The sequence below is a fragment of the Homo sapiens genome, chromosome 15, assembly GCF_000001405.40.
Source record: "Homo sapiens chromosome 15, GRCh38.p14 Primary Assembly".
Taxonomy (NCBI): domain Eukaryota; kingdom Metazoa; phylum Chordata; class Mammalia; order Primates; family Hominidae; genus Homo; species Homo sapiens.
In genome coordinates, this window is record NC_000015.10 from 93,513,920 (window position 1) to 93,533,625 (window position 19,706).

General features: G+C 39.3%; 1 long non-coding RNA gene across 1 annotated transcript in view; it reads left to right on the forward strand.

Annotated features, from left to right (window-relative positions):
* LOC124900612 (uncharacterized) overlaps nt 1–19,131 on the forward strand; it is a 36,890-nt gene extending 17,759 nt beyond the window's left edge. Inside the window, exons 3-4 of the long non-coding RNA XR_001751670.2 lie at nt 16,318–16,518; nt 18,854–19,131. This is a non-coding gene — a long non-coding RNA (uncharacterized LOC124900612). The remainder of the gene's footprint in view (nt 1–16,317; nt 16,519–18,853) is intronic.
* Nucleotides 19,132–19,706: the final 575 nt, after the last annotated feature.

The following is a 19,706-nucleotide window of genomic DNA, read 5'->3' on the forward strand; positions in this document are numbered from 1 at the left end:
AATAATTAAGGCTGTTTGATTCTAGCATAAAGATAGACATATAGTTCAATGAAATAGAATTGTGAGTCTAGAAATAAGCCCATGCACCTATGTCCAGCTGATTTTCAACTACAGTGCCAAGGTCAATGGCAAAGAATCAGCAGTCTTTTCAACAAATGGTGTTTGGTGTTTGGACAGCTGGGCATATACATGTAAAATAATAAATATGTACTCACTACTTCACATCATATGAAGAAATTAACTCAAAACGAATCAAAGACCTAAATGTAAGAGCTAATATTATTATACTCTTAGAAAAAATATGAGGCAAAATTTTTATGACCTTAGCTTAGGCAATGGTTTCTTATAAGATTCCCAAAACACAAGCAACAACAGAAACATAAATTGTACTTGATCAAAATTTAAAACTTTAATGCATCCGAGGACGCTATTAAAAAGTGAAAAGACATCTCACAGATTGGGAAGAATTATTTGCAAATCGTACATCTGATAAGGATCTAATATCCGGAATATATGAAGAACTCCTATGACTAAAAAATAAGAAGACAAATAACCCAATTAAAAATGGGCAAAGGATCCGAATAGATATTTCTCCAAAGAAGATAGAAGAGTTGCCAGTAAGCACATGAAAAGATACTTGGCATCATTAGCCATCAGGGAAATAAATCAAAACCACATTGAAATACAACTTCACAACCACTAAAATGGTTGTAATAAAAAAGACAGATAAAAACAAGGATGTGGAGAATCATTTTACATTCCTGGTGGAGAGTAAAGTGATGCATCCCCTTTGCAAGACAGTTTGATGTCTCAAAAGTTTAAACATACAGTTTGATGTCTCAAAAGTTTAAACATAGAGTTACCATTTGAGCTAGCAATTCCACTCTGAGATATATACTAAAGAGAAATGGAAATATATCTCTACACAAAAACCTGTAACAATGTTCATTGCAGTATTAACCACTATGGCCCCAAAGGGGAAACAACCTAATTGTTCATCAACAGATGAATGGAAAAACAAAATGTAGCATATCCATACAATGGAGTATTATTCAGCCATATGAAGAAATGAAGTACTGATACATGCTACAATGTGGATGAACCCTGAAAACATGTTAAGTGAAAGAAGCCAGTCAAAAGCACATAGCATACGATTCAGTCAATAAGAAATGCCCAGAGTATGCAAATCTATAGAGACAGAAAATAGACGAGTAGATGCCTAGCACCAGGTGTTTGGGAGGGGGTGGTCTGGAGTGACTGCTAATGGATATGGGATTTCCTTCTGGGGTGTTGAGAATATTCTAAAATTGATTGTGGTGGTGGTTGCATAACTCTGAATATACTATAACCCATTGAATTGTACACTTTCAATAGGTGAACTTTATGGTATGTGAGTTTTATCTCAAGTTTTTTTTAAAAGCTTATGCTTATCTTTGATACAGTAGGCTACATAGTATCAAAAGGGACACGAGGAACAGCATCTCATAACATCACACGTAGTCAAGAGACCAGTGTTATTTCTAGACATAGTTTTGCCAAATACTTAGTTTGAGACTGAGCAGGTCACTTCTCTTTTCTTCAACAGATACGTTGAACCAAATGTCCTCAAGGTCTTTTCTAAGAATCCTTACTGCTAACTTTGTAGCTTAAAGTGTGCTGGATGTGTTTCCATCTTCCGCCTTGATTTCCCCAGTGGATCACTGTAGTGAGCTAGAGATAGAGACAGACATTGCCTCAGCAGAATGTGTTTTGCTTGCCCTGCGATATGCTTTGTCATCCCTGGCACTCAGATGGTTTTATGTAACAAATGTGCTGTATTTTTCATTACATAAAAATAGACCTTGTATCATTGTGCCCTGGGAGAAAACCCTGCTCTGCCCCCAAGTTTTACTGCTGATTTGCATCAAGCTCTCAAGATGTTCTGCTCTCTACTTCTGGTCTAATTGTCTCCTTTAACATCTGCCTTTTGGAACTAGAGGAAGGGTCACAAGTTTCCTTCCTCCTGGCCCTTGGAAGGCTGCCTCCCTCTGGAAGTTCCAGTCCAAGACATTTCATGATTCATCTTCTGGTCTTTTATCCCACACAGAAAAGGGCTGCTTTGCTCTAGACTGTCATTCCATTTGCTCATATCCATTTCCTGCCAAAGTAACTATTTCCCCCAAAGAAAATAAAAGATGTTCTGAGTTGTTCATTAATTTCTGCATGTGGAATGAATGAGAAATTGATGTGAAGAGCTCAGCAGTAATGAGGTGATGATCAAAATGGGATGGGATGACCCAAAAGCAATCCCTTGCAATGAACAATTAATTATTAAAAATTGGAGCTCAAGTACATTATGTTACCAAATCAATCAGCCTGAACTTACAGTCTCATTAAAATTAGGGAGTTTAAAGCCAATTTATTTAAAACTGATTGATATTTTCCATTTAAAACATATATGAGTTTCTTGTGTTGCAGAGAATTAAGATTTGAATAGTCATATCTTTTACAAGTTATAAATATATGGCTATTAGTAGATCCTTTATGGAAAATTTGCACATATGCATGGCTGTATCTTCCCTTTTCATTTCCAGAAAGCATAAACTAGCTCGCTTATGTTCAAGTCTGAGTCTATTAGTAGCAGGGATATATGAGCATAGAGTGGTTTTTTTCCCCCCAAGATAATCTTTTCTTTCTCTCCCCTGCTCCTGCTGTCCCCGCTGTATTACAAAGGTACAAACATATTTATGAGGAAAATTTGTCTTTCCTCAAAGGTTTGAAGGTCAGAGTCCCTGAAATGAATAAATAATGACTAAATAGTTATTTCACATTTGGCTGATAAACAGAACGATATTCCTTCAGAAGAAAGGAAGAAAAATTATTATACAGGCATTTGAGAAAGACATATATGGTTCAACAGAGAGCTTGTACCTGAAAAATATCTGGAATCAGATATTCTCTTGGCCTTACTCTTTCCTTGTCTTCTCCCTACCCTCAACCCCTTGGCTGGTTTCTCTTTTGATTTAGTACCCATGTGAAAAGCCCCTTCCTTCTTTATGTTCCTTTTAATCCACACAGAATACCAAAAGTAGTTGTCAGAACAGAGATTGTCTGGTAGCAAAAACCACGGTTTATATGCAAATAGCTGCCATAAGAACGCCTTCTGTACATGAAAACCGTACAGAAGCCAATATTCATGGCTTCTGGAAATTGCCTTTATTTTTTCTTGAACTGGATGGAGTCTTGCTCTTCTACAAAAAGCCAACGTCAAAAACGTTCCTATCCTACAATCATAAGGGAGTGAGTTTGAGAATGTTGTACACACACACACACACACACACGGCTTATTTTCAGTTATGCTTTATGTGTTCAGAAACATAGTATTTAATAATGGACAGGATTTGGAATAATGTAGATGTCTTGGGGACCACTTCCAAAGGTTTTCAGCACAGAGATGTTGGAAAGCCTTCACTAAAAAATGCAATCTCCATAAAGGCAGAGATTTTTGTCTGTTTTGGTGACAGCGGTGTTTTCTGTGCCGAGAGAGGTGCTTGACACATAGCAGGCACTCAATAAATATTTGTTAAATGAAAAGGGCAGGTTAAGGCATGGGTCCAGAGAGAAAATCCTAAGACATTTATTTTCAAGTATCTTGGCAATGAGTTGCAACTGGTTCCCTTTAATGCAAAACTCTTGCTTTTAGGAAGCGACTTTTTGAACAAGTAAACAGATTTCTACTAAAACTTAGGAAACTTTTCACCAAATCTACGTCCTATTTCAAGTTTTAAAACTCAAGTGTTTTATTTGTTTATTTTTAGAGTAATTGTAAGAAAAAAGGAAGACAATACTGTTAAAATACCAATCTTCCTGAAATTTATTTATAGGTTCTACACATCCCAGTAAAACCTTTTGTAGAAATTTACAAGCTGATTCTAACATTTATATAAAAGTCAAAGGACCTATAATAGCTAGAACAATTTTTTTAAAAAGAACGATGTTGAAGGATTTACACTGCCTTATGTCAAGACTTATTATAAAGCTATAGAAATGAAGACAGTATAGTATTTGCATAAGGATAGACAGATTTACAGAACAGAATAGAAAGCCCAGAAATAGACCCAAACTTATATGGTCAAGTATGTTTGACAAAGGTGTTATGCCAAAGTGACTTATTGAGGAAAGGAAATTTTTTTCAATCAGTGATGCAGGAATAACTGGATATCCCCATGAAAAGGAAAAGACGTCTGATCTCTACTTCACAATATATACAAAAATAAATTTGAGGTGGACCATAGACATAAATCTATAAGCTAAATCTATAAATTTTCTAAAAGAAAACAAAAAATAATTATCATTGAAGGCTTGGAGTACATAAAAATTCTTAGAACACAGAAAGCACAACCATAAAAGAAAAAAAAAGTTGAATTTCATTAAAACTAAAAACTTTACTCTGTAAAAGACATGATTAAGAGAATGGCAAGACAAGCCACAGAATGGGAGAACATATTTGCAGATCACATATTTTGACCAAAAAACTTCTATCCAGAACATATGAAGAATTTTTTTTTTTTTTTTTGAGATGGAGTCTCGCTGTGTCACCCAGGCTGGAGTGCAGTGCGCGATCTCGGCTCACTGCAAGCTCTGCCTCCTGGGTTCACACCATTCTCCTGCCTCAGCCTCCCGAGTAGCTGGGACTACAGGTGCCCTCCACCATGCCTGGCTAATTTTTTGTATTTTTAGTAGAGATGGGGTTTCACCATGTTGGCCAGAATGGTCTCGATCTCCTGACCTCTTGATCTGCCTGCCTTGGCCTCCCAAAGTGCTGGGATTACAGATGTGAGCCACCGTGCCCGGCCCCACTGGGAATTTTAAATGGTGAACAGTACACCTTGAAATTCTGTTTGGTGATTTCTTATCAGGTTTAATCTACATATATCCATACTATGATCTAGATATTTTCCCAAGAGAAATAAAAACTTATGTCCACAAAGAAACCTGTACAAAAATGTTAATAGCAGCACGTTCATAATAGCCCCAAACTGAAAACAACCAAAATACCCATTGACAGGAGAATGGATAAACAAATTGTGAGATACTCATTTAATGAATACTGCTTAGAAAGAAAAAGGAATAAACTACTGATATATAAAATGATATAGGTGAGTCTCAAAAACAATATGCTAACTGATGATATATAAAATGATATAGGTGAGTCTCAGAAACAATATGCTAACTGATATATAAAATGATATAGGTGAGTCTCAGAAACAACATGCTAACTGAAAGAAGTCGGTCAAAAAAGAACACATGGTTTGATTTTATTTTTGTGAAACTCTAGAACAGAAAAACCACACTGTGAAGAAAGAAAGAAGAACAGTATTTACTTAAAGATAGTGAATACTGCTGGAAGGTGCAGGAAGGCACTTTCTAGAGTGGTAGAAATGCCTTCTAGCTTGCATGGGTTACACAGGTGTATGCATTTGTTAAAACCACGTTAAACTGTATCCTTTAGAACTCTACATTTCACTGTATGTAAATTATACCTCAAATCCAATATAAAACATCATTTTAAAAATACCCACACTTTTTGTCCTAGAAGGTGGATTCTCTTTTCACGTGCAAGAAGATGATGAATATATGAATCATCATAATTTATTACAAAATAATTTGTGGGAGCCATAACATTATAATTATCAAAAGATATTAAATGGGAGATAAAGGTATAATGAAAAATAACTTGTCATCCGATCAGCCTTAAGACCATGTTGACAGTTTTACGGTTTAATCCTAAATTGAGTATGAAAGTCAAGTTTCTAAAGATAAGATATGGAAGAAAAATCTAGTGTTCCAGTAGCTAAATGACTCTTTGTGGAAATGCACATACTTTCTGTGGTTTGTGCATAGCCTCCTAACGTGCTGATATTTTCTTTCACAGAGCAAGGGAGTACTAGTGAGGCCTGAGAAAGACTACAGCCAATGGTAGAATGTCTTTCTTTACCAAAATCATACTATAAAATTTATTTTTACAATAAGAATGTGAGAAGTAAAGTCCTTCAGCAAAAGCCAATGTCTATTAGCTGTAAGATGGCAGCTAAAATGGTGTGGCTTTTTCTTCCTTCCCTATTTAGTATGCTTTCTTGTGCATTGAAATCACTCATACTTTTTTAGTAAGTGCTGTTTATATTCAGTGCTGTGATATTGGCTACTTCTGGGAGGAATATGAAATCCTCTATTTAATAAATGTGCTAAGTTAGAACTTTGAGTCAGGTTGGATTCCCCAAGAGCAGACCTTAGAGTTAAGGCTTCATATGCCTGTGCTTATTCAGGAAGTGCTCACAGGAAAACCCAGATACCTGCAAGACAGTGGGGCAGGGGGAGGCAGGCAGGACAAGGGAGCCCAGCAAGGGTGTGGTCTCAGCCAATGTCCAGAGAGAGAGGAACTTCAGCCTGTCCCTTCCGGGAAACTCTGCAGTGTCAGTTACACAGAGTCATTCCAGGCCACCAGCCTGGCAGCAGGTGTCTTGCATACCCCTGCTCCTGTCTGTCACTCCAGGGTACTCCACCCACTTGAGCAGAGCAGCTCCAGTCGCCTAGGGAGCAGCCCTCTGAGAATGAGTAGAAGACGCTGCTTATTGGAAGCAAAAACATGTTGGAGTCAGGGGGTGTTTAAAAAATGGTAAAGATATGAAGCACCAACTTTATACGTAAGAAGCACTTTACAAGCTCTAGAACATTACCAAATGTTTTGCTACCCTTTTGTCTACCCGTATTTTGATTCATGATATATTTGGATTTGTTTCATCTTGTATGTTTTGCATTCTATTTTCTATTTCCCCTACCTTTATAGTTTCCATTAAACTGGTTGAGTTTTCCTCATTCTTTCTTCCTCTTTCTACTAGTTCTAGAGTTGTGACTTCTGTTCTGTTCTTTCAGTAGTTGCCCCTTGATTCTTTTTAAAATTTTTATTTTTCCAGTTAAGAATCACGTTTCCCAAATTTTACTGATTCAAACAAGGTTATTGCTTGCTCAGGGTTGCCCTTTGATTTTTAACACGCACACCTGACTGACAGGATACCAAGGTATCAATGCCTCAACTGCTCTATTGAGAACATTAGGCTGTTGTACTCTGATCACCCCTTTATAGCTTCTAAGTCACTTTTGTCCAACAATCTGTGGTTCTGCATTTTTTATCCAACAACTAGTAGTTTTATAATTTGCTTTTTTTTACATTCTTTGCTTATTTAGATTTACCAACATGTTTACACGTGTCTTTACTCACCACTGCTCCTTGCAACTGGCTCCGTCTTTCTGGGTTCAATTTTCATGTTACTGAAGTACAACCTTTGGTAGCCTGTCTTTCACTTCTTTGAACAAATATTGATTGTAGTGGGGAAGAAGACAGAAAAAGTTCCGCTTTCATGGGACTTTCAATGAGAAGAGTTTGTGGGAGGTAAACTCTGTCCACAGTGTCTTCATTGCATCCTCATGCTTGAACGGTAGTTCATGGTATCCCATCTGGATTGACCATATCTTCCCTCACCATGTGGAAGATACAGTCATGCACCAAATAACAATGTTTTGGTCAGTGATGGATTGTGTAGACAGCAATGGTCCCTTCAGATTATATTTTTACTATATTTTTTCCATGTTTAGGTATGTTTAGATACACAAATATTTCCCATTGTGTTACAATTGCCTACAGTACAGTAACATGCTATAGAGGTTTGTTGCCTGGGAGTAATAGGCTATACCATGTAACCTAGGTATGTAGTAGGCTATACCATCTAGGTTTGTGTAAGTGCATGCTATGATGTTTGCACAGTGATAAAATTGCCTACAGACACATTTCTTAGAATATATCTCCATCCTTAAGTGCCACATGATACATGACTGTATTATGTCTCTAGATGGGTCCTGTGGTGGAATCAGGTGGGCTGTTTTTTTTTGAGACAGAGTTTTGCTCCTGTTGCCCAGGCTGGAGTGCAATGGCATGATCTCAGCTCACCGCAACCTCCACCTCCTGGGTACAAGAGATTCTCCTGCCTCAGCCTCCCAAGTAGCTGGGATTACAGCCATGCACCACCATGTCTGGCTAATTTTTGTATTTTTAGTAGAAACGGGGTTTCTTCATGTTGGTCAGGCTGGTCTCTAACTCCTGACCTCACGTGATCCACCGCTTTGGCCTATCAAAGTGCTGGGATTACAGGCATGAGCCACCACGCCCAGCCCCTTTCTGTCTACTCTGATCTCCTGGAGCTCCTATTAGACAAATGCCTGTTTTTGCTTGTATAAATGCCAATACATCTTATAGCCCAGGGACAAAGTCAGCCCATGCCTTCAAAGAAACATGAGTTCTCAAACAAAAACCTTATTCGAGCTGCACAATAAAATAGTGAGCGGGAGCTGCAGACATTCTAGCTCAGCCCACCTGATGCCTTTGATTCTCTCATGTAGTTTCCCTCTGGCTCTCACAGTCTGCTCCCTTCCAGGAGTAGCTGAATTTTTGACAAGCCCAGTCTTCTATTTCTGGTTTTGGACAGGTTTATATTTCGAACTTGGGACATTTAAGTTTGTTGGTTTTATTCCCTGTAGCTAGTCCTGCTCCTGCATGAGGTGCAGTAGCTCCGCTGAAGCGTTCCACCTCCTGGGACTCTCAGAGCTGCCATAGGCTCTGCTGCTGGGGTGAGGGAGACCTCTCTGGCTCTCTGTCGTGCACATGGAGCCACCAAGGCCAAATGACTCTGGCTATTTTTTAAAGACTACAATGGTAGGTACCTGTCATTATACATTTGCCCAAACTCATAGAACGTACAACATCAAGAGTGAGCCCTAATGTGAATGATGGGGTCTGGGTGATAATGATGTGTCAAACCAGGTTCATCACACATAACAAATGTACCACTTTGGTGGCAAATGTTCACAATGGGGAGTCTGTGCATGTGTGGGTGGGGGCCGGGGGTATATGAGAACTATCTGAACCTTCTGCTTAACTTTTCTGTGAACCTGAAACTACTCTAAAAAATAAAGTCTATTAAAAGAAAGATTATACACACACATTGCACATACACACAGACAAACACAATTTTTTTTTGAAAGGGAACTAGGAATACACAGTTTTCCTTAGGTTTTAAGAATCACTCATGCTTTTGCTGTGTGTGTATATATGTTTGTGTGTTTGTGTAATGTGTATACATATGCAATGTGTGTGTATAAAGTATATGTAAGTACTGTATATAATTGCACACACATTTCTCTCTATATATCTCTAATATATATATGTGTGTGTGTATATATATATGTGTGTGTGTGTGTGTGTGTGTATATATATATATATATATATTTTACTTCTGTGGTCAAATTCCAAGAAAAGCTCTTCATTGGGTGATTAGGTGACCATATGTTTCAAATGGAAATAAGAAACTGGTAATCAATTAAGTGCAAACTACCATTCCAAAGCCAGAGAAATAAGGGGAAAATGGCAAATAATGATAAAGGCATCTTTCCCCTAGTTAGTTTTTCTGGAAGGTCATCAGATTAAAACAAACAAAAGCAAAGCAGGCAGAGAGTCCCCTCTTCTCCCCCCATCCCATTGGGCATGCTGTGTAGATTAGGAAGAGCTGCTAGAAATCATCTCGGAGAACATTCCAAATACTTGAGACTTGTCAGGGCTCTCTTCCAGAAGGGGAGCAAAAGCCCTCATAATAAGCTGCTGACTGGACCTTTATGGCTGGGAAACACTGTAACCCTGTAATTTGGCTCGTGAAGGCCACATTCTTCTTTGGAGTACAAGCCACTGGTCAATTATTGCGGTTGGTGAGCTTTCCTTTTGGGCATGAGTCAGGGCCAATTTTACATGAAAGAAGGGTTTTCCTTCTGGCACCGACTCACTATAATTACGGAATCGTATCGTGGCATTGCTGGAAATGGTATTCTCCAGGAGCTCCCAGGGGTGCTGTGGGGTTACCCATGGGGCACCATGTGCTGGAAACATTTTCCACAGCTGCGCCCAGCATCTCCTGATCGTGGCGTTCTTTGAACTTTTCTCGTCTTATAAGATTTAGGATTCTAGGGTCATAAATCACCTTTTACTAAACGCTTGGCTGTGATTATTTACTCATCCTTGGAATCAAAGACTACTCTGGACTAAGTTATCTTTGTCTCTTCTTCCCTCTTACAAAAAGCCTCCCTTCCCCTCCATCTCCCCTTCTCTACTTTCTTCCCTCCCTTCTCCCTTCCTTTTTCCTGTAATTATTGGTAACCTGTTATATGAAGACGCTCTACAAAGCTACATGACACTCATGCTGTACATTTAGGGCAGTTTTTACACCTGCTTTCATGGGAGTTTCATGACTACCTGGGGAAAAAGGGAAGAATATCATCTCCAGAGGGGCAGTGTTACTCTCAGAGAGAAGATGGGTTTGGGAGGCGTGTGGAGGCTCCACACGTACTATATATATATGACCTGGACAAATGAGTCCACCTGCTTAAGCCTCAGTTGCCACATTTATAAATTAGCAATAATAACATTACTCTCATAGGGTTCCTTGAAAAATTGGAAGAGATACTTCAAATAAAGTGTCTTGCGTATTGCTTAACACATACAAGGACGTAGTGCATTTTTATGTTTGTTTTATTATTAGTCTGCATTGGGATTTAATGAAACTGAGCCTCAGAGAGGGGAAGTGACTTGCCAAAGGACACAAAGGTAACAAGAAGCAGAGCCAGCACTGACGCTGTGGACTTTGGACTCCGGCCACCATCCACCTGCTCTTGATGTAGGATCGAGATGCTGCCCTCTCACACAAGGGGGGAGTGGGTGGGACAGACACTGCTGTTCCCTGTACATCCTTTCTTCAAAATCCCTCCATGAAGTTAGCCTCTTCCTTGTATGTGACGAGTTGAAAGGGAATCCATGGCTGGGTGTAGTGGCTCACGCCTGTAATCCTACCACTTTGGGAGGCCGAGGCGGGCGGATCACGAGGTCAGGAGATCAAGACCATTCTGGCTAACACGGTGAAATCCCATCTCTACTAAAAAATACAAAAAAAATATTAGCCAGGCGTAGTGGCGGGCATCTGTAGTCCCAGCTACTTGGGAGGCCGAGGCAAGAGAATTGCTTGAACCCGGGAGGTGGAGCTTGCAGTGAGCCGAGATTCCACCACTGCACTCCAGCCTGGGAGACAGAGCGACTCCGTCTCTACAGAAAAAAGAAAAAGGTAATCCGTTCCTCTGTTTTGTGTCTGGGTTTTGGTGACTTACTGTACACGAAACCCTTTTCAGTCTTTGGGTAAAATGCTGCTGAGTGTAGTGATTCTGGAATGATGAGAGAACCCACGGCAGGTACTGTGGCAGATAGGAGCTGACACCTGCAACTCGGAATTGCCATGCTCAAGGAGGTGCGCCAGGACACCAATCTGTTTGAACAAGTGGATAATGAAACGATGCTGATTTATTTATATGCCTTACTGCTGCCTCTTCCTCAGTTGTTTGAGGTGTATCAAAGATTTTTACTCAAGATTTTACCTAAATACCAACAAAGTACATGGCAACTGACTATACATCTTTTCTCTCCTGAACAGAAGTCAGATAAACATTAATAACAAAAGTGATTTATTGCAGGCTTTCTGCTTGGATGATAACAAATAGAAAGTAACTTAAAAGCAGAGCTAGAAACTTTATATTGCATGGTTTGAAATTGCTGCTTTGAAATACTGTATTTGGAGAGGCATCTGGTAGTCCCCAGCAGTAATGCTACCCACTGTGTGCCAGCACCATTTCTACCTGTGGTGTGTCTACTTTAGATGTTGTGGGAGGTAAGAAAGTGTCTTCTGTATTTGAAAATGCTAGAATTACCCACTGCTTGAACTAAGTTTGATCTGTTTGCAATCAAAAAGAAAAATCTCCAGGCACATTATTTTAGCACAAAAAACGTTGACAAACTGCTTTGGAGATTGTCTCTTTTGTACCTGGCTGTAATTTGAAAGCTCTCCCGATTATAGTCCCTGAGTTAGGTCATCAGAGTTTTATCTTATTCTACCTATCCCTCCTCTCCCCTACCCCCTGACACACTCTCTGGCAACTTCCTTTGACTTCAAGAGGTAATGGTCCTCAACCTTTCTGTAAAAGCAATATTGAGAGCAGGAACACCATGCTGTTTCAAAAGGCATTTTTTTCATGATGACTTAGAAAGGTGTAGAAAAAAAAATAACCTGGTGGTACATTTGAGATTTGGAATGAATCCCTTCTATTTTTGTTTACTCTGGAAGAGACACTTAGGGTTTCTGTTTAGTGAAAAGATAAAGAACTGAAAGTCATGTAAAGCCTAATGGATCCTCACAATCATACTGGCCGTGGGTATTAAGTTGTTCAATTGGGACATTTTGAGCCACATTAAAGTTTGTTCTTGTACCAAATAATATAAGTAGAGAAACTGAGGATGTTTCCTGGAATTCTTAGTCACTAGATCATATAAAAACTACCAAAATGCAGTTACAGGAAGGCATATTTACCTGTTCAATCATTCCCTACACATTTCCTTGAGTAATTTGAAAAATAAGGTCAATTAAATTGGACTATAAAAATCAGAGTCAAGAAAGCAGAAAAAAGTCATACGTTAGTGTGAATATGGTCATTATCACATAGAAAATTTTCTTTAAGCTTCTTGATAGCTGAGTGTGGTAGGGCATTGCCCCTTTTTATAGATGAGGAAAATGATTCACAGAAGAGGAAATAAAATTCCAGTATTTATTACTTTCTAAGTGGCAGGGTATTTTCTTTTCTTTCTTTTTTCTTTTTTCTTTTTTTTTGAGCTGGAGTCTTGCTCTGTCTCCCAGGCTGGAGTGCAGTGGCACGAACTCAGCTCACTGAAACCTCCACCTCCCGGGTTTGAGCAATTCTCTTACCTCAGCCTCCCGAGTAGCTGGGATTACCGATGCGTGCCACTACACCCAGCTAATTTTTGTATTTTTAGTAGAGATGGGGTTTCACCATGTTGGCCAGGCTTATCTCGAACTCGTGACCTCAGGTGATTAGTAAGTGGCAGCATATTGAAGCAAATCTACAAGTGATTTCAGAGAGCAAGCTTATGACCACTACTATAAATGTGCTATGTCCTCAGGCAAAGCTTTTCTTGTCACTAAATACTAGAGTATTCTAGTATTCTCACTTGTCCCTACAATCAATTCTCACTTGTCCCTACAGTCAACTTGGAATTTAATCACAAGCTGAACTGGCTCTTAACAAACTATTTTTAAAATGTGTCTGTGTTTTGTTCACCTATGTAACAAACCTGCACATTTTACACATGTACTCCAGAACTTAAAAGTTGATGAAAAAAAGTGTCTTTGTTTATGTACTCGTGTATGTGTGTGTCTCTCTGTGTGTGTGTGTGTGTATATATATATACACACATATATATATGTGTATGTATATTTTATAAGTTGCAAACCAGAAAATAGTACCCCAATTCCTTAAACAGTGGACTGATGAGTAGAGCCAATGTTTAGTTTCAGTGCAAAAGCCTGCAGGCTCAAAACCTACAAAAACTCGATGTCTCAGTCCAAGTCTGAGGCTGGAAAAGACCAATGTCCCAGTTCAAAGCAGTCAGGCAGGAGGAGTTCCCTCTTAGCCTCTTTGTTCTCTTCTGGTGTTCAATTGTTTACATGAGGCTGGTCCATTCACATTAGGGAGGGCCATCTGCTTTACTCAGTCTATGAATTCAAACATCAATCTCATCTCCAGACACTCTCACTGACATACCCAGAATGAGGTTTGACAAAGTGTCTAGGCAGCAGACAAGTTGAAACATGAAATTAACTATCACAAATTTATGGACTGAAGGTTTGTCCCCCACCCCCACATTTGTATGTTGAAATCTTAACCTCAATGTGATGGTATTTGGAGATGGGCCTTTGGAAAGTAATTAGGTTTAGAGGACGTCATAAGGTTGGGCCTTCAAGATGGGATTAGTCCCCCTAGAAGAAGAAACACCAGAGAGCTAGCTCTCTCTCTCTCTCTGCTTTTTGAAAACATGGTGAAAATGTAGCTGTCTGCAAGCCAGGAAAAGAGCTCCGACCAGAACTCAACAATGCCAGCATGTGGATCTTGGACTTCCAGCTTCCAGAATTACGAGAAAATAAATTTCTGTTGCGTGAGCCACCCAGTCTATGGTATTTTGTTATAGTAGCTTGAGCTGACAAGACTATCTATATATATAAAACCTGATAATGTGAAATAAACAAACAGGTTACTTTTTTATTTTTTTTTTCCAGGTTGGAAGGAATCTCAATAAGTAGCTGTTCAGGGCTCAAGAAAGACAACCCTCTCCAGGAATGTCTTTATTATTGGCAATACCTGAGTTATATAATCATCCTGACCTGCAAGGGAGGCTGGGCATTTGAATATTTTACATTATAATGTCTAGAAAAGGGGGTTTTGGATGCCTGTTAAGTGAGATAACACACAATATCTGCCATGATATCAGTGAAAGAATCGGAACTAGAAGAGCTAAACAAAATCTAAAATCTCTAGGTTTCAATGAAAAAGGTACATTGATTTGGTTTTTGTTCCCTCCCTGTTTGGTACTTGAGTAGGAAAGAAACAGAATATTAGGTAAGAATCATTTGGACAGATTTATCCTTTCTTGCAGATACAGAATTAATTAATATGTTTTACTGAACACTTGGTATATTTCTGTATGAAATCCAGTGTTTTGCATGAGGCATTGGTAGCCATTCTCTCTGGCTGTTTGTCTTGAATAAACAAAGCACCTTTATTTCAGTAAAGCATCTGTCAGGGTATAAGTTGTATTCAACTAGATTTAAAGGCCAACTATGTACAGTTTAGTCTGGATCTTAAAGGGTGATGCTTTCATGCTAGAGCCTCCTGTTTACCTTCTAAATTGAGCTCTTTTAACCCCTGTTTTTCTCTACCTAATTATCTTAAGTGGAAGATGTTCTTGATTTTACTCACATTCTGTCCCCGTGCTGGAATCGACCCACCTCTATTGCAGTGTCCCTATCACTTTGCCCAGCTCTTCCTAGTTCAAGCTGCTCCACGCCCAGCATGGACCATTCCCAGGTGGTGAGCCCCAGGCTTCTGTTGGCCTCTCTCCTTGACCTGCTCTACAGATGACCACTAATCCATCTAGACTCAGGCCTACCCTCTTCTAATCAGGTTACTCCCAAGCATTTTCCTACCTACACTAACTCCCGGGCTTTCACAGACTTCTGTGTCTCCCTTGTTCAATTTCTCATTAGCCAACTCCCTGGCTCACTCCTTCCACATTTGCATGACACCTCGATTTATTTGGGGAACATCTGCCAGGGGTAGAGTGGGAAGGAAACTTTTGGAGGAAGTCTGCAATGTAGTGTTTGCTTCTCAGCATAACAAAGACAAGTCCTGAAGGTGAAGTGCAAAGATAGACTATTCCATTTTGTAAAAACAACTCTTTATGCCTGCCGGTAATTATTGATTAGAGACCAGATGTTTGCCAACATCGCTGTTATAGCTCTGGTTCTGTGTGGATGTGGAATTTGATCAGCTTTAAAACATCAGTTTCAATAGACATGATTTTAGATGGTGGCACTTGGGATAATTTAAAGTCAACAGAAAAGAAGTTCTACTGGGAGGGGGGAAGAGGCAGGGCACTCATTCTTTGAACAAATTTCTCCTTTCTGCAAAAGGTATCTGTCCTGAAGCCAATTCAATCATAGCTCTGCGAGGTAGCTTATTAGCTAATTCAGTTCAGAATCACTTATGTAAATAAACTGATTCCAGACAATTAGGCTGTCCATTGAGAAGCTTATTTGTTAATTTATGAAGCTGTTACTTAGCTTCCATGCTTGTTAATCCCCTCTTCTTTCTACTTCAATGAGGATAAGATACTTGCACCTTCTAGATAAGTGTCCTTAAATTGGGGTGCATGAACTTTCTGAAGCTTTACATACAACTGAGATGCTGCCCAGCATCAGGCACACTGCAGATGTCCCCAATAGACGTTTGTTAAATGAATGACTGTGTGAATGAATGAAAGCTTGGTTTGTCATGAGACCACAGGGCAGCATAATTTCAGAAAATACATTCATGTACTTTTAAAAGTACCTGCCTCATTTCTGTGATCCAATGCCTGAAAATATGTCACCATTTTAATGTTTGTTACTCAGACTATTCTATACACTATTAATTGAAATCTAAGAGGTAGACCCTGTTTAAACTGGCAGAGGACTGCTTTTTGCTCATTGCTAGAAGCTGTAATTTATATTTACAAATTTCTTGAATGAGGAGAGGGAGAATTGTATCTTACTATTTCTGTTCTTCCTCTTCCTCGTTCCACCATAGCTTTGAATGATGCATTGGCCCACGTGGACCACCTTCCATTTCCCAAGACTTTTTGAAGGCAATGAATGAGAAGAAAGCAGAGAAAACAGTGGGCGTGAGGTCAGATGACTCAGGCTTGAGTACTGATCACATCAAGGATTGGACGCACTGCTCTTAGGAAGGCACAACTTCTACTACTTTCAGTCTTATCAACTGTGAGAGGTAATAATGATACCTGGAGATTATCTTGTTCTGAAGAACGAACATTATGAGTTTTATCATTATTAGCAAAAACTTGCCAGTACCAGGAATTGCTGCAGATGACTGAGGAAAGGTTTCTAGCCAGCTCTCAGAGGGAAGTGACTTGCTTGCAGCAAGGCTTCTTTCTTACCTGCAGTGTAAGTTGAGTTCAGACAATGGTGGTCTTGCATGCTGCAGACACATAGTCATGTCCTGTGCTTGCCCTGTGTGGCAGGGAACAGCAGCTCCTTTGCAGAAGGAATGGGCCACTGCAGAAGTTCATGTGCTCCCAATTTTTCTATGACATCCACTTGACTTTCTGTGTCCTCTTTGCTATTTTCATGCTATCATGCTACTTCATGGCCAGTGCAGCTTAAGAAACATTTACTAAGGACTGGGAGAAAATCAGAAATATTTATGACTTAAGCACTGCCACTGAGTTGCTTCCATTTCTAGAAGGAGACACCAGTCAAACACAGTTCTATTCATGGCCAGGTGAAAAAGGGAAACATGATAACAGGAAAATTATAAAATAATTCTAGAAGAAAGAATACTTATTTTTCAGTGGAGAATTCAAAGAGAAGGTGCAAGGTCTTAGAACTAGGTGTTGAAAGATGAGCAGTCTTTTGTCAGGCTGAGATGAGAGGGAAGAGCGTTAGAGGTTGAGGGAACATCATGAACAAAGGCATAAAAATAGAAAGAACCTGTGAGACCTGGGAATTAACAATGGTAGTTTGATAGTGGAGCCGATCTGGGGAAAGGCTTAAAAAATATACTGAATAGAGTTTGAGACTAGGTTGTAAATGGTTTTCAATGCAAGTTAATAAAATTCATGATTTATTTATCTTGAAGTAATTTATAAAGTACAGATAAAAGGTAAAAGGCAGCTCTTCCCTCCAGCATTTGTGCAATACTTATTAATGTTTTGGTGTACTTCCTTCCAGTCTTTTTTCTTCACATTTACAGATTACTCTCCTTTCCTTATCCAACGTTATCTACTAAGCTTTACCGTATGCTGCAACATCAGCTTCACAATCAGCATAGTTATATAAAAGTCTATCTAGTGTTGAGTATATAAAGCAGGCTCATTGTTTCCAAGATGAAGACTTGGCAAGGCTGCAGGTAAGATTTATTTGAAGGAGCCAGTCATTTTGATTTTCCATGGTAAGAACCTATGGAGAAAAACAGTCATTGGGATTTTTTTTTTTTTTACTAGAAATCATATCACAGGTATATCTAAGAAACAAGGGGTGCCAACTTCCTGGTAGGTGCTGCAATGGTATTTGGTCGGATTTTATCTACCACTCTGTGATCTCTGGAGATTCTATATTGTGCTGCATCTATCCAAGGCTTCCTTTACAGGGTAACTACACATTTACCCAGAAAAGGGGAGACAGAATGGGCAGAGAGTTTATGTAGCCAGGAAATCAATCTTTATGGAAAATTCCTCTACTATATGCATTCATTTAAAAAAATGCATGGAAAGGGTTAGGCAATGGTTTCTTAGACATAACACTAAAAACACAAAAAGACAAAGAGAAATATAAATAAATTGGGTATCTTCAAAATGAAAAAACATTTGTGTTTCAAAGGACACTGTCAAGAAAGTGAAAGAACAACTCACACAGAACAGAATATGGTAGTCCCCCCTTATCCAGTTTTGCCTTCCCCAGTTTCAGTTACTAGCGGTAAAACACAGTTAGAAAATATTAGACAAAAACTCCAGAAATAGGTCGGGCTTGGTGGCTCACTCCTGTAATCCCAGCACTTTGGGAGGCTGGGGCGGGTGGATCACCTGAGGTCAGGAGTTTGAGACCAGCCTAGCCAACATGGTGAAACCCCGTCTCTACTAAAAATACAAAACATTAGCTGGGCGTGCTGGTGGGCACCTATAATCCCAGCTACTGGGGAGGCTGAGGCAGGAGAATCGCTTGAACCCGGGAGGGGGAGGTTGCAGTGAGCCAAGATCGCATCATTGCATTCCAGCCTGGGCAATAAGAGTGAAACTCCGTCTCAAAACAAACAAACAAACAAAGAAACATTAGCCAGGTGGTGGTGGCAGGTGCCTGTAATCCCAGCTATTTGGGACTGAGGCCAGAAAATCACTTCACCGTGGGTAGATGGAGGTTGCGGTGAGCCAAGATCGCACCACTGCACTCCAGTCTGGGTGACAGAGCAATACTCTGTCTCAAAAAAAAAAAAAATAAAATAAAATAAAAATAAATCCAGAAATAAACAATTCACACATTTTAAAATGTGTGCTCTTCTGAGTAGTGTGATGAAATCTCACACTGCTTGGCTCCGTCCCTTTGTCCAGTGTACCCTTGCTGTAGATGCCACCCGCCCAGCAGTCCTCATCATCTTGGCCCAGGATCACCTGAAACAGATGATCCTCCTTTTGAGCTACCATCAGAAGGTCCACAGTACTAGCCCAGCGCTACATCCCAATGCCTACGCCATTCATCTCACCTCATCTCATCACGTAGACATTTCATCATGTCACATCATCACAAGAAGGGTGAGTAAGGTCCAGTGAGATATTTCGAGAGAGACAGAGACCATATTCACATAACTATTATTACAATATATTGTGGTAGTTGTTCTATTTTATTAATACTTATTGCTAATTTCTTACTGTGCCTAATTTATAAATTAAACTTTATCACGACTATGCTTATATAGGAAAATCATAGTATATACATGGTTCCATACTATGCAGTTTCGTGCCTTCACCGGGAGGCTTGGACCATATTCCTCTCGGGTAAGGGGAGACTACTATACTAATGAGAATCAATTTCTAAATGTTTCAATTAGTTGTATTTCTTTTTTTTTCCAAAATTTTATTGTGCCTGTTATAGTTGGGTGTTTTTCTCATTCCATTACATAAACTTTCTGTAAGTTAAAGCGCGAACATATTGTTACATTTGATACGATTTCTTTTCCAAGGCTATCCTTTTATATTTTGTCATATATACATTTAAAATTTTTTCATACAAAATCTGTTCATCTCTTCCCTCGTGATTGCTTCTTTCTCCTGTAGGCTAGGACATTTTCCATCTCCAGAGGTCTGCTAGATATCATATACAATTTTCTTCTTTTATTTTTCATGGGGTTTTAAGTTTTACCTTTAACTTTCACATTTAACAACTATTTACTCACTGTCAACTACG